This window comes from Homo sapiens, chromosome 20 (genome assembly GCF_000001405.40).
Source record: "Homo sapiens chromosome 20, GRCh38.p14 Primary Assembly".
NCBI classification, from domain to species: domain Eukaryota; kingdom Metazoa; phylum Chordata; class Mammalia; order Primates; family Hominidae; genus Homo; species Homo sapiens.
In genome coordinates, this window is record NC_000020.11 from 47011969 (window position 1) to 47039799 (window position 27831).

The window sequence follows — 27831 nt, forward strand, 5'->3', positions numbered from 1 at the left end:
AGTATTTTGTATGCTTCTCCTCTGCTGTGTGTTTTTACTTGTTTTTCTGCTGTCATTCTCCTCCCACTAGCATATAAGCTCCAACCGCTACAGTATCTGTAGCATCAAGATCTGTATCTCCTGACCTGTTGCAGGTGCTGAGCTAATAGTTGTGAATGAGTGAATGAATGCTTATTGGCTGTCTGTTGTTGACACCCTCTCTGAAATCCACATGCTCACTTTGGTGCTTCCATGAGTGGAAGCCAGTGGAACTTGCAGATAGTTCACGAGCACCTTTTCGGAGGCCTCTTTCTCTTTGCTGTGAAGATACTTATCAGAGATGCCTGCGGAGTAGCAGGTCTGATGAGATCAGTCTGTCCCCAGGCCAAACCGTGACCAGATTTCCTTTGAACATAATCTCTTAGAGCAGTGTTTCTCTATCTGGTTTAAAAGACCAGTTTTTGGGTTTTTGCTTTTTAATTGCCATTCCACTGTGGACTAATATTTTAGTAAAAATGAATTACCAGAAAAATCAAATTAAAATTTTTATTTACTTATTTATTTGAGATGAAGTCTCACTCTTTAGCCCAGGCTGGAGTGCATTGGCATGATCTTGGCTCACTGCAACCTCCACCTTCTAGTTTCAAGCAATTCTCATGCCTCAGCTTCCTGAGTAGCTGGGATTAGAGGTGTGCACCACCACACCCAGTTAATTTTTGTATTTTTTGTAGAGACAGGGTTTCGCCATGTTAGCCAGGCTGATCTCGAACTCCTGACCTCAAGTGATCCACCCACCTCAGCCTCCCAAAGTGCTGGGATTACAGGCGTGAGCCACCGTACTGGGCCAAATTAAAATGTTTTAAAAACATACTAAATACAAGTCTGGAGAAATGGCCTTAGATGTCAGAACAATGCCAAGTTGCTGCAAAAGTTTCAGGATGTTTACTTCTCAGTGTCTGACTTTCTCATTCTGAACTTGTAACTGATGCATGGACCACAGTCTGGACAACAGACTTAGGGGACGAAGGCCCTCGTGCGCCTTTGCCATTTTCATATTCTCTTCTCTTTCTCATGGATTAGAATTTTATGATCCAACCCCTTCAGCAAACAAAAGAAGAGATGAAAAACTTTATTTTCTTTTCTTTCATAGTCATTCATTTACCAGACAATTTTTGAGCACCTACTATGTGCAAGACAGGGAGCCACATATGGGGAGACTGCAGGGTACAAGAGGGAACCAGCCCCGCCCTCCTGGAGCCTCCAGCCTAAACAGAGAGCAGAGGTTCAACAGTGAATGGGGTTGAGTGCCAGGCAGGAGAACTGCATGCTACTCGGGGCTGACTTAGGTCATAGAAGACCTTTCTAGGGAAACAACATTTGCCTGATAGAGAAGAGGGAGGTGTGGATTCCAGGCAGAGGAAGCAACATATGCAAAGGCTTTGAGTCCAAAGACATGGTTGCAGTTTGTCTGTATCATCTATTTAAAATGGACAATGTAGGTACCCTTAGAGGCAGCAACTTTTGTCTTGTATCCAACCAAGACAAACACTCTGACATTGCTTGAGGAAGTATGTACATTTCATCTTGGATTGTGATAGTAAAAACTGGAATCAACCTGGAGTTCATCATCAGGGAACTGGCTGAACAAGCAGTGATATTTCCGATTCTGGCTTTCCATCCCGTCACTAAAACAGAGTGTCTGAGCATATGGCTTGGGCAGAGGGAGCGAAGGAGCCCAGGAAAGGCAGTGAGGTCGGAGGGGTGGGCAGAGCCCATGCAGGGCCTTGGGGGTCACTGCAGAGTTTAGATTTTACTTTAGGTGCACAGTGAGGCAGACTGTACCCAATGCAACGTTAACGACTCCTAGTGGACTGAGCAAAAAGAAGGTGCTGTATAAATATTGCTTGTTGCTGCCATCATTGTTGTTACTAAAGTCTGGCACCATCGATGGCATAAAACCCCTTCACACCTGTTATTGAGAAGCATCAAGGTAAGGAACCTTGACTTCAGAGTTATCCGCCAATTGCTAGACCCCAGTCCAATGGATTGGCAATCTCAATTCCCACATCTTTAAAATGAAGGAAGTAATATATAGCCTGTTTTGTGGGATTGATGTGAGGATAAAAGAGATGTGTTCTTTAATTACTTCATTCAGAGCCTTTATATGTTCATTCTTTCCTCTTACTTTAATTTCCTAACAACCCATCATTTCACAAGAAAGGAGGCCTCCAACCTGGGGTTGCAGGAGAAACTTTCCAGGTCACCAGTCAATGAAGCAAACCATCTAGGACTCCAGCCCAGATTTCCTGACTCACAATCTATCTGTTTTTACCTTACTAAGCATTCTCTTATTTTACGGGGTTGACAGGATAAGAAGGAGGAAATTTCAATACAAAAACCATCAGCAGAACTAGAAATGTTCTTGAAAGAAATGAAATTTTAAACAGCAATGAGATACTGTTCTATACCCATAAGATAGACAGAGATAAGCAATGTTTGATAACAGTTGATGTGGTTGTGGAGAAGCAGGACTCACTCAGTGACTGGAGAGAATGTCACCTACAATCTAGGGAGCACCATTCAGCAACATCCAAGAAGATTTAAGATGTTCTTGCCCTGGACTCAGTGATTCCAGCTACTGGGAATTTACCTAAAAGATAGACTTGCACATGTGCACAAAATGTGTGTGTGTGTGTGTGTGTGTGTGTGTGTGTGTGTGTGTGGTGTGATGACTATAAGCTGCAGCAAATACATATGTATATGCATATAGGTACATCTATATGTTAAATATATTTTCTGCATGTATATATGTGTGTATATATACACATTTGTTGCATGTGTGTGTGTTATGTGTGTATTTGCTGCAGCTTAAATTACAGTCATAAAATCTCAAAACCACCCAAAAGTTAATGAATAGGAAACTGGTTAAATGATGAGGAAACCACACATTAGAATGTCACACAGCCATCAATACAGAATAAGGAAGAACTTTATAAGCTCATGAAGAATAATCATTACCACATATTGTGAAGCAGTAAAAGAAAAAGAAGAAAATGAAGAACAGAATTTATAGAATACTCCTGTTTATATTTTAAAAGATGGAATAGATATATACGTTACATATATATATTATATACATAAGTTTGCATATGCACAGAACCTGTCTGGAAGTGAATTGTGTTCCATAAAGCTGGTAATCGTGGTTGCCTATAGGCAGAAGAGCTGGGGTTTGAGGTCAGGGATAGGAAGAGACTCTTTGCTTTATGCCTTTTGTACTATTGGAATTTTCTACAATGCATTCATTACATTTTCAGTAAAAATTAAGTGAATGAGCTGATGATGGTTAGCCTCTCCTCCTCAACACAGTCCCTTTCTCAGCCAGTTGTTCATGGAATTAGTACCTATGCTTTAGGTAAGCATGCCGAGTTTTGCTGAAGCAGAAGGCAGATTTGTAACTGTGGCCTTGGGATTAGCAGGTCCCCCCGTGAGATTGGAGAGTGTCTTACAGTTAAGTGATATCATCTTTGCAGAGGAAGGGTGGTTCATTTCACACCTTTGCCCAAAATCCTAATGGACATTTAAGCCATACACAGCACTACTCAGTGGAGTAGTGGGCTGCAGGCTTGCATACCTACCAAGCTGGCAGGTAGCATGAAGCTCACGGTGGCATGTACAAAATATGAGACCTTCATACCTACCAAGCTGGCAGGTAGCATGAAGCTGGTGGCATGTACAAAATATGAGACCTTCTTGGCCTGCCTTTCCCTTCCCCACTTTTGATAGGGTCCTAGGATGTACCAAAACAAATCACAACTGCAATGAGAAAATAGCACGTTAAAACCAGCCTCAAAGTCCTGCAGATGGAATGGAATCTATCATGACCTGGGAAACACCTGAATTGGGAGCCCACAGGGGCAGCTTGTGGTCACATGGGTTGCAGACATGGTGTTACTAGACCATCTTGTCATTCAAAAAGAAGCCGTAAGTCCAGCTTTTTGTATGAAATATCCTGACTTTTAACAAAATCAACTAATTCAGTTTTTCTTAAAAATATGCTGGCCAAGTCAAATGTCTATAGGCTCACTTTGGCTGACAAGCCACCAGTTTGCAACTCCTCATTTGGAAGCTGATAAAATTGCATGCTGTCTTGACCCAGTAGCTCTTTTGTGGGTGACAAGGACGCATCCTAATCATGTGTCCTTGGTCCTTTTTTTTCCCCCTCTTCCTTCAAAGGCATCAAGACAGAAGACAGCTTGAACCATTCCCCTGGCCAGAGTGGATTCCTCAGCTATGGCTCCAGCTTCAGCACCTCACCCACTGGACAGAGCCCATACACCTACCAGATGCACGGTCAGTGTGGCGCTGTGGCCCCTTCCTGCCCATCTCTAAGGACCACCTAAGTTGGGTGTCCATTCATTCATTCATTCAGCAGATTTTTTGAGCACCTACTATGTGCCAGGCTCTATCTCGAGGAGTGGAGAAAATAGATACGAGATCTGCCTTTCATGGTCGTTACCTGGCAGTGGGGAGAGACTAACGATAAAGTCGGCAAATAAGCCAGATGATTTGGGAAGGGGTTGAATGTAATAAGGCAAATAAACCTGGTCTTTGCATAAAGAGTGATGAGCACTTGGGAGGTCAGGAAAGGTGAGATTTGTGACTTTAGATCAAATCACCAGGGAAGGCTCTTTGAAGAGATGACATTGGGCAGAATCCCAAAGGGTGAGGCAGAGCAGCCACATAGACATCTTAGGGAAGAGCATTCCAGGCAGAGGGAACAGCCTGTACAAACTGTGCATGCAGGGAAATGTCTGGATGTATTGGAGGCACAGAGCTGAGACCAGTGAGACTGGAGCAAAGTCAGAAGGCATGTAGGAGGAGAGAATCTTGGAGAAAGAGCAAGGCGCAATCACACATGGCCTTGAGGGATATGGGAAGGAGTTTGCTTGTATTTTAAGTGTGATGGGACAGGCAAGTCTATTGTAGAGACTCAGAAATGTCGGGTGGTGGAAATATTGGACAGTCGGGTGAAGAAGCTGTTATTCCAGGCAGGAGGATCAAGGCTCTGCAGCCCTAGAGGGTGGCCTTAAGGAAGAAAGAACTCCATTGTGTAACCCTCCACCCACCTGCCATAAGGAACTGGCTTACTGGGTTCTCCCATGCTCATCTCCACTCTTTTACCATCCAAGAACCCTTCTCTGTTCTGGTGCCCCCTTGGGAGCATGCTGGAGTTGATGCATGGAGCAGGGGGCTGGTGGCTGTAATTATGGGGATCCCCATTCTGCTGTTTCCCTTTATATAAGCTGCTAAAAATTACCATCAAGGGTCTGAAAGGGTAAAATGATAAGATGGTGGGCTGATGTGTGATTGTACTTTTTTTTGAGATGGAGTCTTGCTATGTTGCCCAGACTGGGCTCAAGTGATTCTGCCACCTCAGCCTCCTGAGTATCTAGGACCACAGCTGTGCGCTGCTGTACCCAGCTTTGATAGTATTTTTCTTTTAAAAGCAACTACTTGGAAGTACTATCACTTCATCTTTATTATTTTAATTTTTTATTAAGGAAGTAATAAAAATGATTGTCAAGGGCAGCATTTCAGGAAAAAAAAATTGTGAAAGGAGAATAAATAATCTTAGGTATGTGTGTAGGGAAAGCAGGTGATAAGCATTCATGCCCAGCCCTGAGAATAGCTTCCTGGTAAGGTCTGTGTCCAAGTTTGTCAGTGATGCCATGAGCCAGCCTTGACCAAACATGCTAGGTGCCAGGTGATGCTCTGTGGGTTCTCTCATACAACCTTCATGACGCTCTCAAGCAACGGTACTGTATTATTCCCATTTCACAGAAGAGGAAACTGAGGCATAGAAGGAATGACTGATTTGTCCAACACCAGGGCAAGGATTTTAGATTTTATTGTAAGCATAATGGCAAAGGGACTGTGTCAGATGTCTTGGGGGCCTGGTGGAATCCCAACCCCCAGCCTCACTGCAAAGCCCATCGCTGTAACCCCGGCACTTTCCTGCCTCCTCTGCTTCTGCTCTCACGTCTGTGTCCCCAGTCGGGCCTTTCTGAGGCCCACTGAAGGGAGTAAACTCCTGAGACCCATCTCTCCAAGTGGGGAGTGAATGATGGCACCGGCCCTGATAACAGGAGGTGTGTGAAGGTACTGAACTTCAACTTGTATTTGAGTCCATCTCAAGCCAGTTTTTTTCCAGCTCTTTAAATAGAAACTGGACTTACTGCCTCAGGGCTTCTGAGGCCACAGAGGTTGAAATGGAGACCCGGTCCCCGTATCCCATTTTGACACCCCCTCAGCCACACAATAAGTGATCTAAGTTATGTAGGAGAGGCCCCCATTCATTCATTCATTCATTCATTCCGTATGTTGAGCACCAGCTTGACACCTGGCACCCTTCTAGGCACTGAGGGCACAGCAGCACACAAAGACAATCTCCTCATGGAGAAAGATGGACAGTAATCAATTGACAAGTAGATAGATAATTATAGATTTTGATAAAGCCTGTGACAGACAAAAACATGGTGGCATGCTGGACCGTGAGCAGTGGTATGGACCAGGAGTGGTGATCGGCATTCAGCAGGTGGTCAGGGGCCTCCCGATGGAAAGGAGGCTGCCACAGGAGGGGCCAGAGCTGGGCCGGGCCGTACAGGCAGCGGGAACGCAAGAGCAAAGGCCCCGCGGCAGGAAAAGGCTCACAGTGTTCAAGGACTCCAGAGGAGCCTCATCCTATCCTCCCCAGAGCAGGATATGCAGAATAATATTCTTTCTTCTTACAGCAACCGCGTGAGGTGGGCACCATAAGCCCTGCTTTCATAGATGGTGAAAGTGAGGCTCAGAGAGGGCAAGTGACTTGCCTGAAACCGCAGAGCCAATAAGTGTTCAGAGCTGGGATTCAGACTCCAGTTTCTCTGGTGCCACTTCCTCTAAATGATGAGATTTCCTGGACTCCTTCAGGACTCCAGGAACTGTCCTAATGTCTGCACATAAACATGCGGCTTAATCTCCCCAGTAGCCCCGTGACATGAGCACTGCCACTGCCCTCATCTTACAGGTGGAGAAACTGAGGCATAAAATGTTTCAGTCACTTACCCAAGGTCACACGGCCATGGCAGTGGGAAATGAGCCAGGCAGTCGCCCAGGCACATAACCCTCACGCCATCCTGCCCTTCACACTCTCTTAGATCCATCTAGAAGGTGATTCTCAGGGGTGAGCCTAGGGCCCCACCCCCCACCTCAATCCCCACCAGCCAACGTCTCCAGCTCTCTTCTCGCCCTACCATGGGAATCGTCCAGGTTATTTTCTTATCCTCCTCACAGCCCAGATGACAGAAGGGCAGCGGCAGCAGCTGGGCTTCGTCCCAATTAACTGCCTTCAGTCTGATGCTAATGGCTATAAACTGCTCTTGAGACAGCCCAGGCATTTTGCAAGCCTGACATATTCCTCCTTAAGTATTTTTTTCAAACACAAACACACAGAACGCTCACACACCATGCCCATGTGCTTCCTATTAACTTTTTTTTTTTCTGAGTTGTTCCAGAGGAGAAATAAACTCTCGAACTACTGAGAGCATTTCAGAATGGAAGACATTGGTTGAGCTTAGTTTCTCAGAGGAAGAAGAAAATAAAGAAGATTGAGGCTTATGAACTTTTAGGCCTGAAAATGCTGATTTTGTGAAATTGGCCCATGGTGAGAAGCTAGCATGAGTCTTTTTCCTTTCTAAGAATTTAAACCATAATTTTGGCCCATAATCCCAGCACTTTGGGAGACCAAGGCAGGTATATTTATTGCTTGAGTCCAGGAGTTCAAGACCAGCCTGGGAAACCTGGTGAAACCCATCTCTACAAAAAAAAAAAAAATTATCTGGGCATGGTGATGCATGCCTGTAGTCCCAGCTACTCAATATGTTGAGGTAGGAGGATCACTTTTCAGCCTGGGAGGTCAATGCTGCAGTAAGCCGTGATCATGCCACTGCACTCCAGCCTGAGCAATAGAGCAAGACCCTATCTTTAAAAAAAAAAAAAAAATGCTGGGCATGGTGGTGTGCACCTGTAGTTCCAGCTACTCAGGAAGCTGAGGTGGAAGGATTGCTTGAGCCCAGGAGTTCAAGGTTGCAGTGAGCTATGATCACCCCACTGCACTCCAGCCTGGGCAATACAGCATGACCCTGTCTCAAAAAAAGAAAAAATATATAATTTTTAGAAGCAAAAAAGGATGCTCTTGGGGCTCACCTCATCATTTTACAGATGAGTAAACTGAGGCACTGCAACAGAGTGTCTTACGGAAGATCACAGAGCAAGCTTTAGACAAGCCAGGATGCCTCCCACTAGGTCTTCTAGCTAATCTCATAAACTTCCAAAAACTTTAGCACAGCCATCACCCCGTAAGGCCCTGGTTTGAGATCTGTATCTGTTTGGATAACACTGCCCCTCCATGGAATATACAATAAATGTAAAAGAAAAAAGTTCACAGCTCTTGTTCAGCCTTTGCAGAGTTGTTTATTTTCTTTATTTTAAGTTCACCCTGGGGTTTTTATAGCTGAAGTGTGTTTCTTATGGGTTTGATTTTTTTTCTTTTTGGCTTCTTCTGGTAAAACACTGCTATTCACAGAAATAACCACAAAGATTAAAAAGAGGGGGAAAAAAATCTCCAGAGTGTGTTATAAGAAGTTTCTGGTGCCACAGAGTTGTTAAGAGTTCTGGACCTGGCCTGTGGTCAGTCCTGGCAGTACCCCACACACAATGGCATGAGTTGGGGAAGCACATGGACTTCTCTGTGCCTCAGTTTCCTCACCTGTGAAACTGGTATCATAGTGAGAGAGGTGACAACATGAGGCTTTGGGAGACTAAATAACATGATTCATGGGCACCACAGATGAGATCCATAAAGGCTAGATTTTCTTTTTATTATCTCTGTTATTCCTTCCTTAGCATGGTAGTTAAAAACAACTAAAAGCAGGGACTCTGAAGTCAGGTTGAGTTAACCTCCAAATACGGCTGCAAACCAGCCCTGTGACCTTGAGCTCAGTTACTTCTCAGTCCTCCAGTTTCCTTCCCTATGAAATGGGGACACTAAGAGTACTTTACTCGTGGGGTGCTATGATGACTAAATGAGTTAATGTATGTGAAGTGTTTAGAGCGCACCTGGCACAAACTAACGCTCTCTAAACGTTAATTATCGTTATTATGATTGACATTGTTAGCCTCACTTCAGGTTTGATGGGCCATGTTCTTTCCAAGTTCGCTTCTATTTCCTGAACTCTCAATTTTAGTAAGTGGTCAGGGTAAGAGAAAAGAGGAATACTAATCTGAGACTGTGGGACTGTCTGCATCCACATAAACTCCCCTTCCAGTGAACTCTGTGTTGTAGGGAGACTTAAAAACAGGCCAAGTGCAGTGGCTCATACCTATAATCCCAGCCCTTTGGGAGGCTGAGGCGGGCGGATCATCTGAGCTCAGGAGTTCAAGACCAGCCTGGCCAACATGGCAAAACCCCATCTCTACTTAAAATACAAAAATTAGCCGGGTGTGGTGGCACACACCTGCAATTCCAGCTACTTGGGAGGCTGAGGCAGGAGAATCGCTTGAACCCGGGTAGTGGAGGTTGCAGTGAGCCGAGATCACGCCACTGCACTCCAGTCTAGGCGACAAAGCGAGACTCCATCTCAAAAAAAAAAAAAAAAAAGGCAAGAAAACAGTGGGATCCCTATCCAGTGGAAACTCTTTTTGCATTTATGAAGGGCCAGGGAACATAAAGACTGAAGCTTAGAACCCCTCCAGCAGCCACTCAGGAGCAACATAGAATCGTGCAATTCAGGGATGTGTAGGAAATTAAAAGTTCAGTAAAAGCACTTGTTACTCAGTGATCTCAGCTCGAGACCTCCGAGACTGGATTGTGTTGGATTTAGAAAGTCTCTGTGTCAGATTCATGAAATCTACCACCAGTAAACTGTGTGACCTTGGACAAGTCACAAAGCCTTCATGATCTGTGTTCCACAGTTCTAGTGCTAACAAGAGTTCCAGGAAAAAATAAAGGGGTTGGGGCGGGTCATGGTCATACATACCAAATACGTTTAGTCAATAGTGCATGCCACAAAGTTAAAATAGACATCTTTGCTACAGGACTTTTCAGAGCCTTTGCAGGCTGTTGTGCCTTGTACTTCTCCAGGAATAGAATTCAGGAGGCAATTTTCCCAGGCAGATGGGATGAGGGCCCCTCCGTCCAAACTCGTTCTGTGGTCACTGAGAAGCCCTGGATGTCATGATCTTTTAGGACCCTTCCTTTATGAACGTTCTTTGAATTTCTATTGTTTTAAACAATGAACATGTATGTTTTTCTTTTTCCTGTGTTTTAATTAAATTGTTTCTTGTTGAGATGGAGTCTCACTTTGTCGTCCAGGCTGGAGTACAATGGCATGATCTCGGCTTACTGCAACCTCCGCCTCCTGGATTCAAGCAATTCTCTAGCCTCAGTCTCCCAAGTAGCTGGGATTACAGGCGCCTGCCACCACACCTGGCTAATTTTTGTATTTTTAGTAGAGATGGGGTTTCACCACGTTGGTCAGGCTGGTCTCGAACTCCTTACCTCAAGTGATCCGCCCACCTCAGCCCCCCAGAGTGCTGGGATTACAGGCATGAGCCACTGTGCTCAGCCTTAATTTTTAACTGAGATATAACTCACATCCTAAACTTCACCTTTTTTTTTTTTTTTTTTTTGAGGCAGGGTCTCTGTCACCCGGGCTGGAGTGCAGTGGTGCGATGACAGCTCACTGCAACCTCTGCCTCCTGGGCTCAAGTGATTCTCCCGCCTCAGCCTTCCGAGTAGCTGGGACTAGCAGGTGCCTGCCACCATGCCCAGCTAATTTTGTTTATTTTTTGTAGAGACGGGGTTTCATTGTGTTGCATAGGCTGGTAAACTTCACCTTTTTAAAGTGTTCAGTTTAGTGTTTTTAGTATATTCACTAAAATTGTGCAACCATCACCACTATCTAATGCCACAGCATTTTTGTCACCCCGCAAAGAAACCCCATGTCCATTAGCGTCACTCCTTAGTTCCCCTCCCTCCGATATATTCCTTTTGTAATAAAAAAAAAAGACACATGAATTTTTTAAACAGGTTACACATTTACCTAGTTCGGGCATCTGTGGAAATCTTTCTTCTACCCTCATGCTACATCCACCCCGTTTCCAAACCCCTAACAATTAACCACTGTAATAATTTCGTGGGAACCCACCCAGAACATCTTTTTGCAAACATAAGTAAAATATAAGCAGTCTATTATATTGTATGTTACTATTACAAGAATTAGTTCAGACGTGATTCATAAATAAGAAAACTATGTTAGTATAACTCGGAAGTTGCATTGTTTCATTTGCTTCTAAGGGTTTCTCTATCACTGTTGTTGTTGTTACGTGCCTTGATGTAGTTTTCTTTATGATTCTCGTGCTCTGTGTTCATTGAGACTCTTAGATCTGTGGATTTATCATTTCCATCAAATTTGGAAATTTTTCAGCCAATATTTCTTCAAATTTTTGTCTGATGTTCCACACCACTACCTCCCACTCCAAGTTCATAAATCTTTTCTTCTGTAGTATCTGATCTGCTGCTAATTACATCCATGTCATTTTTCATCCCATACATCATTTTCATCTCCAGAAGTTTGATTTTGGGTGTTTTTTTTTTTTTTTTTTTTTTGAAGACAGAGCCTTGCTCTGTCACCCAGGCTGGAGTGCAGTGGCGTAATCTCGGCTCATTGCAACCTCTGCCTCCAGGGTTCAAGCGATTCTTATGCCTCAGCCACCTGAGTAGCTGGGCTTACAGGTGCTCACCACCACTCCTGGCTAATTTTTGTATATTAAGTGGAGATGGGGTTTTGCCATGTTGGCCAGGCTGGTCTCAAGCTCCTGAGCTCAGGCAGTCTGCCCACCTCAGCCTCCCAAAGTGCTAGTACAGGCATGAGCCACCATGCCCAGCCTGGGTCTTTTTCTGATAACTTCCATGTCTCTACTTAACATGTCCAATCTTTCTTCTGGCTTCTTGAACAGATAGAATCCAGTTGTAGTAAACGTTTTAATGTCCGTGTCTAATTCTATCATTCCTGTCATTTCTGGGTTCATTTTCATTGATTTTTCTCCATGTCGAAAATCATATTTTTCTGCTTCCCTGCATGCCTGATAAGTTTCAATTGGATGCCAAACATAAATTTTACCTTGTCAGATGCTGGATATTTTTATATTCCTATAAATACTTTTGAGCTTTGTTCTGGGATGCAGTTAGGTTACTTAGAAACTGTTGAATGCTTTTGAGTCTTGCTTTCAGCCTTGCCAGTTGGGATCAGAGCAGTGTTTGGTCCAGGAGAAATTTTTCCCACTACTGAGGCAAACCCTTCTGAGTATTCTACCCAATGCCCCATGAATTGTGAGGTTCTGCAATTCTGGCAGGTGGGAACAGGAACTATTCCCAGCTCCATTATGAGCTCTGAAGCTTGTTGCTTCTGATCTTTTCCAGTGGTTCTCTCTCAGCCCTGGGTAGTTTCCTTACACCCATGTGCTCATCAGTTCTCAGGTGGCCACTCAAGGGGAACTGTGAGCAAACCTCCAGAGCGCTCCCAGCACAACTTTCTTTTTCTGGGAGTTCTGCTCTGCCAATTCCAGCCACATTAGCCTCCGCTGACTTGCAGCTCCATCTCCCCAGCTCAGAGAGACCACGGGCCTCCACCTGGGTTTTCCCTTCTTGGAAACTCTATCCTGGGGCAATCATACAGCTCACCATCTGTTTCTCCTCTTGCAAGGATCACTGTCCATGCCTAAGGCCCAATGTCTTGGAAACCTAGTTTTCAAACTGTTTCAGCTGGGAGGGTAAATCCAGACCTTGTTACTCAGTCTTGGCCAGAAGTGAAAATTCCACTGCATTGGTTCATTTGTAATTTTTCCAGAGCATGGGCTAACAGCAGCTGAATGTAAAATACCAAACACAAGCAAATGCAGCAAGCCTGGTATGAGTACAGTTCTGCTCAGAATGCCCTATCTTCTTCCTCTTCCTCAGTTTGGTTACATGTTCTATTTTGGGAGAACTAATTTTGCAATTCCTGCCAATTTTTATGCATTTTGCCCTTGTTTCCATAATTCAGCACCTCCATCATCTCTTCATCACCTCCATCAAGATACTTTCACTTCCTTTTAAAAGCAAAGATCTCTATTTAATGTAATGCTTCTCAGTTTATTATTTACATTTTTATTTTTTCACCATGCTATCATTTTTACTGGGATTGTCACTGCTTTGGTTAATGCTCTGGTTACAAAGTGGCATTGCTGTGGGGCAGTCAGCTGTAACCCTACTTCTTCCCATAAGCTCTCTGATTTTAGTGCACAGGTTTGCATAACTCATGGCCTTTCAAGAAAGCATTATCACATGATGGCAGAAACACTTGTCTATATTCTTTTCACAGATAACATCCTATGCACACTCTTCTGCACTTCGTTTTCCTCATTTAGCTATATACCTTGGAAAGAACTTGCTAAGTCAATATATAGAAAGAGCTTCTTCATTCTTTTTCATAGATGCCTATTATTGCATTGAATGATGTGCTATAAATGATTGAGCCAGTTCCTTACTGGGGGCCATTTGGCCTGTTTCTACTCTTTTGCAACTGCCTCCGAAATGGTCATGAAAACCCCTATATGTATATTATTTTTTATAAGTATATCTGAAGGGCAAATTTCCAAAAAGTAGGAGTTGGGGTCAAGGGGCAAGTCTATATTTAAATTTGGTAGATATCTTCAAGTTACCCTCCATAGGGATTCTACCCATTTACACTCCCCCCAGCAGTGTCTGGGAGTAGTACCTGTTTTCACAAAAACTCATCGACCCAGTGTCATCTTACGGTTGAAGTTTTTGCCAATCTGATGCGTGAAGAAATGGTGTCTCAGGGCAGTAGTAATTTCTAAGTCTTGTCCCACAAGTGAGGTTGAGCATCTTTTCAGACCCTTGACTGATTTGTATTTCCTTTCCTGTGAACCAGGAGATTTGACTTTTAAAAGTTTGCAAAAGAAAAGCAATTAAGTACTAGGCATACCAATATTTAAGCATATCATAAAGCTTCAATAATCAAAGCAACATGCTTCTAGTGTGAATACACTCACCGATCAATAGAGGAGAACAAATGGTCTCAGAGAGAGACCCACACATTTAGTACGTGGAGAAGGTGATGTCTTGAGTCAGTGGGAAAATATGAACTATTGAATGAATGGCATTGGAACAGCTAGTTAGCCATCTGGAGAAAAGTATCCATTCCTACTACCAGAAAACAAATCCAAATGGATTGACGGTTTAAATGTTAAAAATAAAACCATAAAAATACTAGAACGAGAATAAGCACAATTTTTTATAACCTTGGAGTGGAAAAGGCTTTTCTAACCAGGACTCAGAAATCCAAAATCCATAAATGAAAAGATTGACAGGTTCAACTACAGAATTTTTTTTTTCTTTTTTGGCACGGCAAAGAACACCAGAAGTCAAAACAACAAAACAAATGACAAAAAACAAGCAAACAAACAAAAAAAAAGAAAACAAAATGACAAACTGAAAAGAAATATTTACATCTGAAATCACAAAGAAATGTTACTTTTTCAAAAATGATTCTACTAGTCTATGGATTGAACCTGCTCCAGGATGTGGTTCTTCTCAATCAGGATTTCAGACTCAAATAGTACAGGGCCGAGCAGTAATGTAAAAGAGAGACATGAGCTAGATATAGGGTTATAGGGAGTGGTGGGAACTGTAGCAAATTAGAGACTAAACCCCCCACCAACGCTGGGGATAGTGGGGTGTTACTTGGCTTCAGCCCATTGCTGCCCCTCTAGAATGGATCCCAAGGAGACCACATCTTTCCATTTTTCAAAGTGATCCCTAAAACTCTATTTAATGTGAAATCTCCTTATTCTTTTTCAATATGGACAATTGATATACACTCTCTTTGAAACACCTTGTGAAGCATACAAACACGTATAAGGCTGGCTTCATGCCCACATCTTGCAGTCTTGCTCCATATTTTAACTGAACCACAGGTCCCGAGATGTCTAGATGGGGCAAATCACAAGCTAAGTGGTGACTTGGGGAACCACACAGATCACCTCCTTTGGGTTCCCCCACCTCTGGCTTATTTCATCAGTGAGGTATGTTTCAGAGAACTTGAGTGATAGGTGTGGCCATAGTTGAGAGTGGAGCCCAGTGGCCTCCTCATGGTGAAATGGAGTCATTTCCCTATTTCTCTCCGGTGATGGCATCTTTCAGGCTGTCCCAGCCCAGCCAGTTTTGAGCAGTCTAAATCTTCCTGATCTCACTGCATCGGTCAAGACAGGAGCCAGTCTTGGCATCCTATGGGTTGTTGGACTGAGGCCGAGTTCCCTAATGTGAATCAGCAACTCTTCTGCACACAATGAAGTGGGTGAAGTTTCCCCATGCATGTCAGCATTCTCGCCCCTGTGCAACACCTCCAGCCTGGGGGGTCACTCTCCCCTCCCCTTCATGTGTGCTGGCAGGCTTGCTGCCTTTTGCTTGAGCTAAAGTCTTCTGAATTTAGAACGTATAGAGTTTAAATGGAGGGTCTTTCCTCTAGTTACATAACAAGTTAGATTTGGTCACCCCTATCTCCAAAAGCCACTGGAGGTAACAGGCGGAAACAGCTGGAGAGATTGAGAATGAGTTTGGGATCAGGAGGGAGTTTAGTTCAACAGCAATTTGCTAAGGCAGTGCTGTCCAACAGACCCTTCTGTGATGATGGAAATCCTCTGAGTGGCTGTGCAACGTGATAGCCCCTAGCCACAGGTGGCTACTGAGCACTGAAATGTGGTTAGTGCAACTGAGGAATTGAATTTTTAATTTTGTTTAATTTTAATTAATTGTAAATGCACCTACTCTATTGGGCAGCACAGGTCTAAGCAATGTTTCAAAGCTAACTCTTAAGTTGTGTTATGGACTGAATTGTTTCCCGCCCCTAAAATTCATATGTTGAAGCTGTTACCTCCAATGTGATGGGTTTTGGTGATGAGGCCTTTGGGAGGTGTTAGGGTTAAATGAGGTCATGAGGGTGGGGTCTTCAGAATGGGATTGCTGTTCTTATAAAAAGAAAGAGAGAGAGAGATCTCGACCTCCTTGTCTCTCCCTGAATGCACATACTGAGGACAGGCCATGCAAGGACACAGTGAGAAGGTGACCATATGCAAGCCAGGAAGAAGACCTTCACCAGGAATCCAACCAGCTGGCACGTTGACCTTGGACTTCTTGGACTCCAGAACTATGAGAAATAAATGTCTGCTGTTTAAGCCACCTAGGTGACAGCATTCTGTGACAGCAGCCTGCACTAAGACAGTAGGTTTTTCCTAGACATGCAAAAGCAGAAATGGAAAAGCTAATATCCTGAGCATTTTGTTTGTTTCTCTTTTGAAGATGCTTCACCTTCTTCTCTTCTTGCCCCCACTATCAGACGGATTTTCAAAGCAAAGCAGGTCTACGTGTGGCATCAGGAGCTGGTGAGTGACAGAAGCTGGTGCCTTCATATAGCCGTCATCCCAGTAGATATTAAGGGAGCATCTCCTCTGTGCCAGGCACTGTGCCAGGTGCTGAGAAAGCAGAGGTGAGCAAGACAAATACAGTCCCTGCCCCCCTGGAGTTCACACCAGGGATGAGAGATGGACAATAATCCAATGATGGCACAACACATGTAAAATTGTACCTGTAAAGCTCTAGGACACAGGGCCAAGACAGAGTCTGCAACTGTCTGGCTCCAAGCCTGTGCTCTTCACTCTGCCACTGGTCACAGATCCAGATGCCTCATGAGCCAGCCCACAAGGTCAGTGTGTGAAGATGGCTGGGTGGCCCTGTGGCAAACTAAGGAGCCCCAGCCCTATATACCGGGGTAGCCCCACCCCATTAAAGCTGGTTATTGCGATGCCATAGATTATTCAAAATTTAAATTAAAAAAAAACAAATGCCAGAAATCTTTTATAAGAAATTTCCCAATTAAAAAGACTTAAATTGGTAGCAACAAATTTTTAAAATAAAATAAAACTTACTGTGCAAGCCAAAGCACATGTACAGATTGGATTCAGCCCACAGGCTGCCATTTTGCTAACTGTGTTCTCTATCATGACCATGGAGAGAACTGATGTGAAGGCAGGGGACTCTGAGCTCAGAAGGGGAAGAAATGGGGGTTAGCATATTCAGGACAGGGTGTAAGAAGGCAGAAGGGCCACAGGTTATGGATGTGTCCTGTCTCAGCCACATCAGCTGGAAGAATAATGATGGCGTGGTTTCTAGAATTAAGAGTTGAAGTTGAACAAGGGCTCAGCCCATAGAAGGAGCTTATCGAAGACATGCTGTGGCAACTTTGCCTGGCCACCCTGTAGCTCGCCAGTTACTTTGATGGGCAGCCATGGCTTTTATCCATATTTTCAGGGCAGAAGACAGGTGGAACCAGAATGATGCCATAATGGTTGTAACCAGTGGGTGGCCAATTTGGGGTTGACATAACTGTATCTGCAGGGGAAGCATGATCAGGTCCTTCTTCATATTTAAGGCTTACCTACTCCTTTTACCCCTTCCTCTATAAGTAGCACTGCTGTCTCTTACATCCTTTTCCTCATACCTCCCATTCATTCTGTCTACAAGGTTACTAACTTCCTTATTCTCTATACTTAACACATCTTTACATTTTGCCCATATCACCCAAGCTCCTTGCCTACTCACTAAGTTTTTATAACACTTCTTCCAAGTTTCATTCACCCCATCTCTTTTTCTTTTTTCTACAACACATAATTGAACATCGTTAAATATTCAATTAAGAATTATTGAACACAGTACAGTTACAATTGAACATATTACAATAGCATTCTTACAAAGTTCTATGTATGTTAAAGCCCTGAAAAAAAATTCTGCTTGTAAAATGGACTGATGTGTTGGAACAGAGGTGAGCAAACTTTCTGTAAAAGAGCCAGAGAGTAAATATTTTAGATTTTGAGGGTCATAGGTCTCTGTCCCAATTACTCGTAACTCTGTCATTGTAGATTGAAAACAGCCATAGTCAATACGACAACGAATGGGCAAGGCTGTCTTCCAAGACAGTGTTATTTACAAAAGCAGGTGGTGGGTTGGATTTGGCTGAGCTCTGTGTTCTAGGGTCATATTATTAAAACCAGATCTTATCTGCCTGAATGTTTGGTTGGATATTTGAAAGTCAGGTGGGACCTGGGAATGGTCTTCCTTTTGCTGGACTCTCCACACATTGCAGAATGTCTGCACCTCTGTCACCTGCCCACTAAATGCCACTAGTTCCTCCAATAAAAGTGTCCCCATGAATTTCCAGGCACCCCCTAGGGGTACTGCAGCCACCCAACCACTGGTTTACACAGTGGCAGGTTCAGGCATGGGGAGAGGTGGCTGTGGTGTAGGAATGAACATCTGTCATTCACTCAGCAAACATTCACCAGCGTAGGCTCTGTTGCAGGCAGCATGCTAAGCATGGGCCACACAGCCCCAGGCTGACAGTCAAGCCACACCTTCATGGAATTTATATCCCAGGGAGGATACAGGCGGTGCATGAGTCTAGTTAACCTGCCATAACAAAATACCATGGTCTTGGTGGCCTAGACAACAGAACTTTATTTTCTCACAGCTCTGGGAGCTAGAAGTCCCAGATGGAGGTGCCAGCAGATTCTCTTCCTTGTGAGGGCTTGCTTGTATATGCTCGCTCTGTGAACACATGGCCTCTCCTCTTTGGGTTCACAGAGAGAGAAATCTCCGGTGTCTCCTTTTTTTGAAAGACAGGGTCTTGCTCTATAGCCCAGACTGTAGTGCAGTGGTGCAATCGTAGTCACTATAACCTCGAATGCCTGGACTCAAGCGATCCTCTCGTCTCAGCCTCCTGAGTAGCTGAGACTACAGGTGCACACCAGGCTGCTGCTGCTTATAAAGACACCAGTTATTACCTTGTAACTCTTATGACCTCATTTAATCTTCATTACTACTCTGGAGGCCCTGTTTCCAAATACAGTCACAATTGGGGGTTACAGCTTCAACATAACGAATCTGGGGGCCACAATTCAGTTGCAACACGCAGTGGGTAAGGAAATGAGCAAATGACAAGATGATGTCAACTGTGATGAGTGCTCCAAGGAGAATAAACAGGGAGATGTAACAAAGAGAAACCAGGAAGGACGCCAGGCTCTCTGAGGAAGTGACAGTGGAGCTGGCACTTGCAAATTCGGAAGAGCCAGCCATGGGTCACAAGTGTCGCCAGCAGATAGGAGGCCAAGTGGCTGAGGAGCCAAGGGGAGAGGGGTGGGGAATGAGTTGGCCGGTGCTCAGGCACCGGGAAGCCATGGGGTTCTAAAACAGGGCAGGTGATCTGGTTTGCATCTCAGAAAGACCAGTTGACTGCTGGGATGAGTGGACTATGGGGGGATGGCAAGGGCTGCAAGGAGGCCAGGAGGGAGTTCTGTCCTGAGACAGTGCCTGACCTGTCCCTAGCTCTCCCTTCCCCTCCGCTTCTCTAGGTCAGACACAGTGAAGCCAGTATTCACAAGTGTACCTGTGACAATGCCTGCCAGATCTCAGTGACCCCATTCAGAAAATTCTAGAATTATTACAACTTATCCTTTTACTCCCAGAGGAATGAAGGCCCAGAGCACGGCTTTGATGACGTTGCTTTTGTGTCACTTGTTTCTTATTTCATTTGTTTATCATTTTTATTTCTGACGTTTCGATGAAATGAGAACTGGGCCCACAACCAGGGTCTGCACCTGCACAATTTGTTGAAAAGTCATAGATGAAATCTCTCTGCCATCTGATCATTGGCAGGGGCAGGGGTGGGGGAAGGGGAGTGGAATGAGAAAAAGGAAAAAAAATGCACCAAATTTTAAAAACCAGTACAAACACACAAAAAATGCAGAGTCCTATCCAAGGAACAAGTCCCTGCCCTGCTAATTCCTTAGAGATAAAAGGAGAGCAGCCTGCTCCCAGCCCAGGCAGCCCAGCCTTCTGTTCAGGAATTGAAAGGGGTAATTAAGGGGTAGGGGAAATACAGCCTCAGGCAGGGAGCCATTTATTAGAGAGGCACAGACAGACACACAGACCCTGCAACTCCTCAGTTCAGAGAGGAGGCACAGCCAGGACAGAAGCCAGGCTGTGGGATGCTCAGTATGTACCCTTAAAGCAAACCAGATTTTTGCTGCTCCTAAAAGTTCAGGTGGTAAAGCGGGGACCAGAGTCCAGATTCCACCCACCTTTGAGTTATGTGCTTCTTTCCCTGGGCCCGGGGAACATGCAGGGAATTCCTGATTTTTGTATTATTTCCCATTCAGTAGCTTTACACATGTCCCAGGAAGGCAGCTTAGCCCCCTAGTCCTGAATCCACCTGCCTTCTTACACTGCTTTTTATTTTTCATACATTTATTTTAAACCACATCAGTGCTATTAGTGTGTATCTTTCCAGAACATTCTCTATGTATGCATTTACGAGCTTATTTTTCTTCTCACCAGTAGAAAATCCTGTTTTTTTAAACACAAGTAATATCTTGGTGTGCATCTTGTTTTATAAGTTGTCTTTTATATTTTTCGCCAATTAACATGTCTCGGAGATCTCTCAAAGTCGGTTCAAACAAACCCACTTTAGTCTCTTGTTTGGCCTCTGCAGACGCTGCAGTACTGCATCGAGAAAGCCAGATGCTGGGGTTGAATCTCCGCCTCTGCACTCACTGGCTGTGAGACTTGATTTTCTCATCTGTGAAATGGGGTTTATAGGAGTAGCTTTTGTGAAGCCTGGGACAAAGTCAAGTGCTTCCTTGCTTTGGCTATCATGGTTAGTGTTATGGATATACCACGGCATTTAGCCATTCCCCTTGAAATGGACAAAACTTCCCACATTTCACTGTTTTCACAGAGAAGCCTGCAATCTTGAATTTTGGTTGCTGCAGCCATTTGCTGTCCCCGTATGTGTCTCCCTTTGTGGCAACCAGGGCCCCCTTCCAATTCCCGCAGCAGGCCTCGCCAGGTCTCGCCACACTTTGCATCTCTGCTACTCCAGCCCTAAACTGCAGCCTGTAAGAACTGGCAGCTCAAAAAGATTGTGCAACCCCCAAGACCATAGCTCAGGGCCATCCCAGCTGCTGCTGCAGGTGAGCCCTAGCCGGCTGCCTGACCTTTAGGTCAGTGGAGTATTTTTGATCGCTTAGGAGCAAGAGAAGAGAGCCAAGAGGAGGCAAATACCGAAGCCTACTAGAGACAACCCAGGATCCCAGAAGTGTATTTCTAGAAGGGGTGATAGAGATCATCTAGGTCAGGGGTCAGTCCAAATAGGAAAAACTTCAGGCTTTGCAGGCTATACAGTCTCTGTTGCAACTGCTCAACTCTGCCAATGCACTGTGAACATTGTTATAGATGACACATAAACAAATGGCATGGCTGTGTTCCAATAAAACTTTATTTACAAAAACAGGTGACCAGCCCACAGACCATAGTTTGCCAACTCCTGATATGAGTTGGTCTAAGTCAATCCATCCCGGGGCCTGGGTGAGTTGCTATGGCTGCCTTTAGTGCTGTTCCTGACACTGAATCATACACAATGACCCAGAGTGGCAGGACTGTATTTCTTGCCCTTCTTGCAGGCAAGGTGTCGGGGAGAGGCAGTCAGCTAATTCTAGCCACTGAACTGAGAGTGGAAATGATCATGTCATGCCTAGGCCAGAGCATTCAATGGCCAATACAAGACTCTGCCAGTGTTCAAATTGAAGGCTGCTCCTTTAACTGGTGCCCTTGAGTGACTCCAGTGAACATAGTCCCTGATGATTCTCAATGGACATATAGCATGAAAGATAGATCAACTTTGATTGCATTCAAGCCAGTGGGATATTGGGGATGTTTGTTACCACATCATACCATAACCTCTCCTGACTAATTTATTGGCACAAGAGATTATTTTACATGGAACATGAAAGTGGCACTCAAAGTCATTGGGTCACATAGTGAGGAAGTCATTCCCCTTTCTGTCATCTTTCAGCCCTTCTGATTCAGTGATAAAGGGAGGAAGGAAGTCTCTATTTGATGCTGATATATCTTCAATGTGTCTCTAATCCCTGCAAATACTTCTTTTTAACAAGATGAGAGCAAACCCTAGGTTTAAGGTCTTTGGCAGACAACAGTATTTGGCTAGAATTAAAAACATTTGTTCCCTATGTATTTTTTGTGTTTTGTATTTATCATTAATGGCAAGTGGTATTGATTTTCTATTTACAGTAATAATATAAAGTCTTCTCAGACAAATTTATTTAAGTAAAAACAGTGAATGATTATACGGATAGGGCTTAGGACACAGGTAAGTTTCGCAAAAATGTGAGTCAACATTAAGCTGATATAAGGGAAATATTAAATAAAAGAATAGGCCAGGTAGTTTGAGGATATTTAAAAACTGTGTGGGGGCAGGGAGATGAGTAGAGTCTGGATGCAGGAATCTTGTTCAATATCTTCCTTGCATAAGTGTGCAAGTGGAGGCTTAGAGAGGGGATGTGCTTTGCTGTGGGTGAACCAGCTTCCCAGGACCAAGGCGAGGAGGGATCCCCAACTTTGCAATTCAGAGGCCAGGCTATCCTTGTGCCCGAGGCCCTGTCCCCACCAAAGTTAAAAGGAAAACTGAGGAATGCCAGTAAGTCAACAGAATTGCCTGGATGTGTTTCCTAAGACTGTCATAACAAAGCACCACAATCTGGGTCACTTTGAAGAATATAAGTTTATTGTCTCACAGTTCTGGAGGATAGAAGTCTGAAATCAAGGCATTGGCAAGGTTGGTACCTTCTGGAAGCTCAGAGGGAGACTGTCCCATGCCTCTCTCCTGGCTTCTGGTGGTGGCAGGCATTCCTTGGCAATCCTTGGCCTATAGATGCTTCACACCAATCTCTGCCCCCATCACCACATGGCATTCTCTCTGTGTGTCTGGGTCCAAATTTCCTTCTTCTTATGAAGACACCCTAATCCATTATGACCTCATCTTAATTTGATTACATCTGCAAAAGACACTGTTTCCAAATAAGATCACATTTACAGCTACTGGGCCTTAGGAGATGAACATAGCCTTTCAAGGGACGCAACTCTACCCACGACATCACCCAACCAGGGTCCCTGGCTGAGCTGCAAGAGGCTTGGAGCCAAGAACTGCGTCCTGTCCCTGAGCTGGCTGGGCTTAGCAAAAATTGAAACCACCCTAGTGAAAGAGGTCGGTCAAGGATCCTGCTGCTCAGCTGGCTTGTATTAGTCTCAGTCTGAGACGGTGGCGGCAAAGATGGTCTAGGCCCCAGCAAGTGAGGCAGCAAGAGGCCAATGCCAGCAAAGGTCAGGGCTCCCTCTTTAAGTATAAATAGAACCTTCTTCCCAGCCACCCCCTCCCATAGCCACACAATATCTCTTTCAAAGATCTCAAAACACTGAAGCAGACCGTACCAAATTGACTTTATTGTTTTAAAACCAGCCCCTTCTGTCTGCCACCACCCGCCACCCCTTCCCGAAGGGGAAGAAAAAAATCATAATAGATGTCTCTCCAGCGTGCACCTCTGTTCTCCTCTCTCTAATGGCAGCTTGGGACCCTGAGGCAGTGACGCTTAGTAATGTATCCTAATAGTCAGTGTTTGTCTGACAAATACCTAGTGACCACAAGCCTAATCAGGGCCGCCATGAATTAATGGTCAGTGTAGTGATGGGTGCTGAATGATCATAAAAATAGCTAATACTGGGCCGGGCTTGGTGGCTGATACCTGTAACTTTGGGAAACGGAGGCAGGAGGACTCCTTGAGACTAGAAGTTCGAGACCAGCCTGAGCAACATGGCAAAACCCCGTCTCTGAAAAAAAAAAAGAAAAAGGGGGCCATGTGTGGTGGCGTGCACCTGTGGTCTTAGCTACTTGGGAGGCTGAGGTGGGAGAATCACTTGAGCCTGGGCAGTCGAGGCTGCAGTGAGCTGTGATTGTGCCACTGCACTCCAGCCTGGGTGACAGAGTAAGACCCTATTTCAAAAGAAAGAAAAAACAATGCTCACGCTGAATGAGGGCTTCTGGGGACCACGGACCAGGCTGAGCACTTGGCCAGTATTCACTCCCTTGGTCACCACTTCAGTGTTTGCAGCAAGTTGTTGCCATTTGACAGATGAGAAAACTGAGACTCCAAGGGAGGAAGCGAGAAAGCTGGGAGGTGGCGTAACCGGGATCAGGGCCGGGACTAGCATGAAGTAAGAGAGGCACTGGCTCCATGTGCAAAATGTAACAGAGTGCCAGGAAATTCAATCATGGATAACTATTTTAAGGCACTATTTAAAATAGCCAAAGTTCGCGCAAAAACTCCCTGATGAACAAAGTATCAAATTTTGAAATAAAGACAGACTCCTGCTGTTTGTTTAGTGACCCAGCAATATTGTGGAACAGGAATGGTCGTTTCCAATCAGCCCAGGGTTCTGGTGCACACGGGCATTATGGTCCTGCCGTGGCAGGGCTAGGAGGGTAAGCAGACAGATTTGGCAATACAGGGACTGTTATAAAGTCATGCTTCTTGATAATAGTGTTTTTAACTTCTTCCACTTGCTTCGTAATATTGGAGGATATTTTGGGAAATGCATATAAGAGCATGTATTTTTCCTTTTGCCTCAGGCTTCAGTACAGCTTGGTTCAGTGCCAATCAGGACACTTCTCCAGGCAGCCGGAATCCAAAGTTCTTGCTTTATTTATTTCCTTCCTTCCAGTAGGTTCTACAGTTTTGCACACACCACCTATGTCACCTGCATAACCAAGTACAGGGGTTCAGAATGTGGCCACTGAACTCAGATCGCCTAAATTCAAATCCCAGTTCTGCCAGTTATCAACTATGTGACAGGCAAGGGGCTTTGTTTTTCTGGACCTCTGTTTCCACATTGGTAAGATACAAATGATGGGTGTATTAGTTTGTTTTCACACTGCTATAAATAACTGACCGAGACTGGGTAATGTATAAAGGAAAGAGTTTTTATTGACTCATAGTTTAACATGGCTGGGGAGGCTTCAGGAAACTTACAATGATGGTGGAAGGTAAAGGGGAAGCAAAGCACCTTCTTCATAAGGTGGCAGGAAGGAGAAGTGCCAAGAGAAGCAAGGAGGAGCCCTTTATAAAACCATCAGATCTCATGAGAACTCGCTCACTATCATGAGAACAGTATGGGGGAAACCACCCCCATGGCTCAATTACCTCCTCCAAGTCTCTCCCTTGACACCTGGGGATTATGGGGATTGAGGATTATAATTCAAGATGAGATTTGGGTGGGGACACAAAGCCTAACCATATCAGTGGGAATTCCCCTACTCATCAGCAGGTTGTTGTAGTGATTAAATGAGTCAAAACTCATGCAACACTGAGAATAGACATGGCGCAAAAGAAGCACTCCGTGTTCATTGGCATTATTACGTGTTGCATTGTTATGTGTTGCATTGTATTATTAGTTTTCCATGACTTCTATAACAAATTACCACAAACTTCGTGGCTTAAAACAACATGAATTTGTTATCTTACCATTTTGGATGTCAGAAGTCTTACTGGGCTAAAATCAAGGCATCAGCAGAGCTTCTGGAGCCTCTAGGGGAGCATCTGTTCCCTTGCCTTTTCCAACCTCCCAAGGCTGCCACTAGTCCTTGGCTTGTAGACCCTTCCTCAAGCCAGCTACAGTGGGTTGATCTTCTGTAGTCCCATCTCTCTGACTCTTTCTGCTGCCTTTCTCTGCCACTTTTGAGGACCCTGGTGATTAAATTAGGCCCTCTCAGGTAATCCAGGATCACCTCCCGATCTTAAGCTCAGCTGCTTAGCAACCTTAATTCCATCTGAAACCCTAATTTCCCTTTGCCACACATGTAACCTAAATATCCACAAGTCCTGGGATTCGTATTGGATATCTTGGTGGGTAGGGGCATTTGTTCTCTCTACCACACGTGTTCATCATTCAACAAGTATTTATTCACAGCATCTGCTGTGCAGCAGAATTAGGATTTACAGCAGTGACAAAACAGATAAAAACTGCCCTTGCAGGGTTTACATTCTAACAGGGAGAGGTAGATGTATATATATTTTTAATTTTAAGTAAAATTCATAGTGTTTCTGATGGTGATGGATTCATGTAGAAAAAATAATAGAGCAAGGGAGAGAATTAGGAAGCTGATGATTTTAGGTAGGGGTGGGGCGGTCAGGGAAAAAAGTCAACTACTGGCTGGGCTCAGTGGCTCATACCTGTAATCCCAGCACTTTGGGAGACCAAGCTGGGAGGATCACTTGAACCCAGGAGTTCGAGACCAGCCTGGGCAACATGGCAAGACCCCGTCTCTACAAAAATTAGCCAGGCATGGTGGCATGTACCTATAGTCCCAGCTACTCAGGAGGCTAAGGTGGGAGGATTGCTTGAGCCCAGGAGATTGAGGCTGCAATGAACTGTAATCGCACCATGGCACTCCAGCCTGGGTGATAGAGTGAGACCTTGTCTCAAATAAATAAAAATATAAATATAAACTACTGCTTCTGCCCACAAGGGTGCTCTGGGGACAGGTCCACATAGGGCAGAGGAAACCCTGAGGGGTCTGTGTGTGTGTGTGCACGCACACATACACAATGTTCATTGTGATATAAAATTTACCATCTTAACCATTTTTAATTATACAGTAAGGAGTGTGAACTGTATGCACCACTTTGTGCAACAGATTTCTGGAACTTTTCCATCTTGCCAAACTGAAACTATATCCATTGAACAACTAGTCCCCGTTCCCCGCACGTAGCCCCTGGCAGCCACCGAGGACTTCCTGTTTCTAAGAGTGTGAGTACTTTAGATACCTCACGTAAGTGGAATCGTACAGTATTTGTCTCCTGAGGGGCTTTTGTGAAGAGAGTAGGGGCTTCTCGAACAGGAGAAAAACAAACAAAAAAACATTGATCTTTTTCACAGCTACTGGGCCTTAGGAGATGAACTTAGCCTTTTAGGGGATGCAACTCTACCCACGACATCACCCAGCCTGGGTCCCTGGCTGAGCCGCAAGAGGCTTGGGGCCAAGAACTGTGTCCTGTCCCTGAAATGGCTGGGCTTAGCAAAAAACCAGAGCAGATGTCGAAATCACACACACACACACACACACGCGCGCACAATTCTATAATGTGAGTTTCTAACTATTTTGACCTAGACCAGGTGTAGGCTAACTAAAACCCTCAGGCCAAATCTGCCTGCTGTCTGTTTTTGTACCACCCATGAGCTTAAAATGGGTTTTACATTTTCAGATGGTTGAGGAAAAGAATCAAAAGAAGAATAATATTTCATGGCACATGAAAATGATATGAAATTCAAATTTCAGTGTCTACTAATAAAGTTTTATTGGCACACGGCCACATCCATTCATTATGTCTATTGTCTGTGGCTACTTTCCTATCACAAAGGCAGAACTGGGTCATTGCAACCAGAGACCATGTGGCCAAAGTAGAAAATATTTACCGTCTGTCCCTTTACAGAAAATGTTTTCCCGTCCCCTGATCTAGACCCACAGAAAGAAATGCGTTTTATATTTTAACCCTGAGCTGGCACTTGGGCATGCATATACCTACAATGGAAACAAAGTATCAACAAAATCACACCCTCACTGCCTGAGATCAGTGCAGTATTCTCAATTCTCTTTTTTCTATTCCTGAGGCGGGGCATCTTGTAGTGATAAAAGACACAGATTGTGGAGCCAGCCTGCCTGGGTTCAAATCCTGGTTTTGCTGTTAACTGTGTGACTGTGGGATATTTTTTCGTTTCTCTGTTTCCCAGCT

At 44.5% G+C, this 27831-nt stretch overlaps 1 protein-coding gene across 5 annotated transcripts in view, besides 1 other annotated feature; it reads left to right on the forward strand.

The window, feature by feature from the left end:
• Window positions 1-27831, forward strand: part of EYA2 (EYA transcriptional coactivator and phosphatase 2) — a 294002-nt gene that overhangs the window by 117126 nt on the left and 149045 nt on the right. For all 5 annotated transcript variants that reach the window (NM_005244.5, NM_172110.4, XM_017027721.3 and 2 more), the window contains exon 5: window positions 4213-4329. In NM_005244.5, the coding sequence (NP_005235.3) occupies window positions 4213-4329 (117 nt within the window). The remainder of the gene's footprint in view (window positions 1-4212; window positions 4330-27831) is intronic.
• Window positions 23214-23713: an enhancer, noted in NCBI's record as "H3K27ac hESC enhancer chr20:45663821-45664320 (GRCh37/hg19 assembly coordinates)". NCBI's record gives its function as "activates a minimal SCP1, AML or CMV promoter by ChIP-STARR-seq in primed H9 embryonic stem cells {active_cell/tissue: H9 hESC(primed)}" and the evidence as "EXISTENCE:reporter gene assay evidence [ECO:0000049][PMID:30033119]".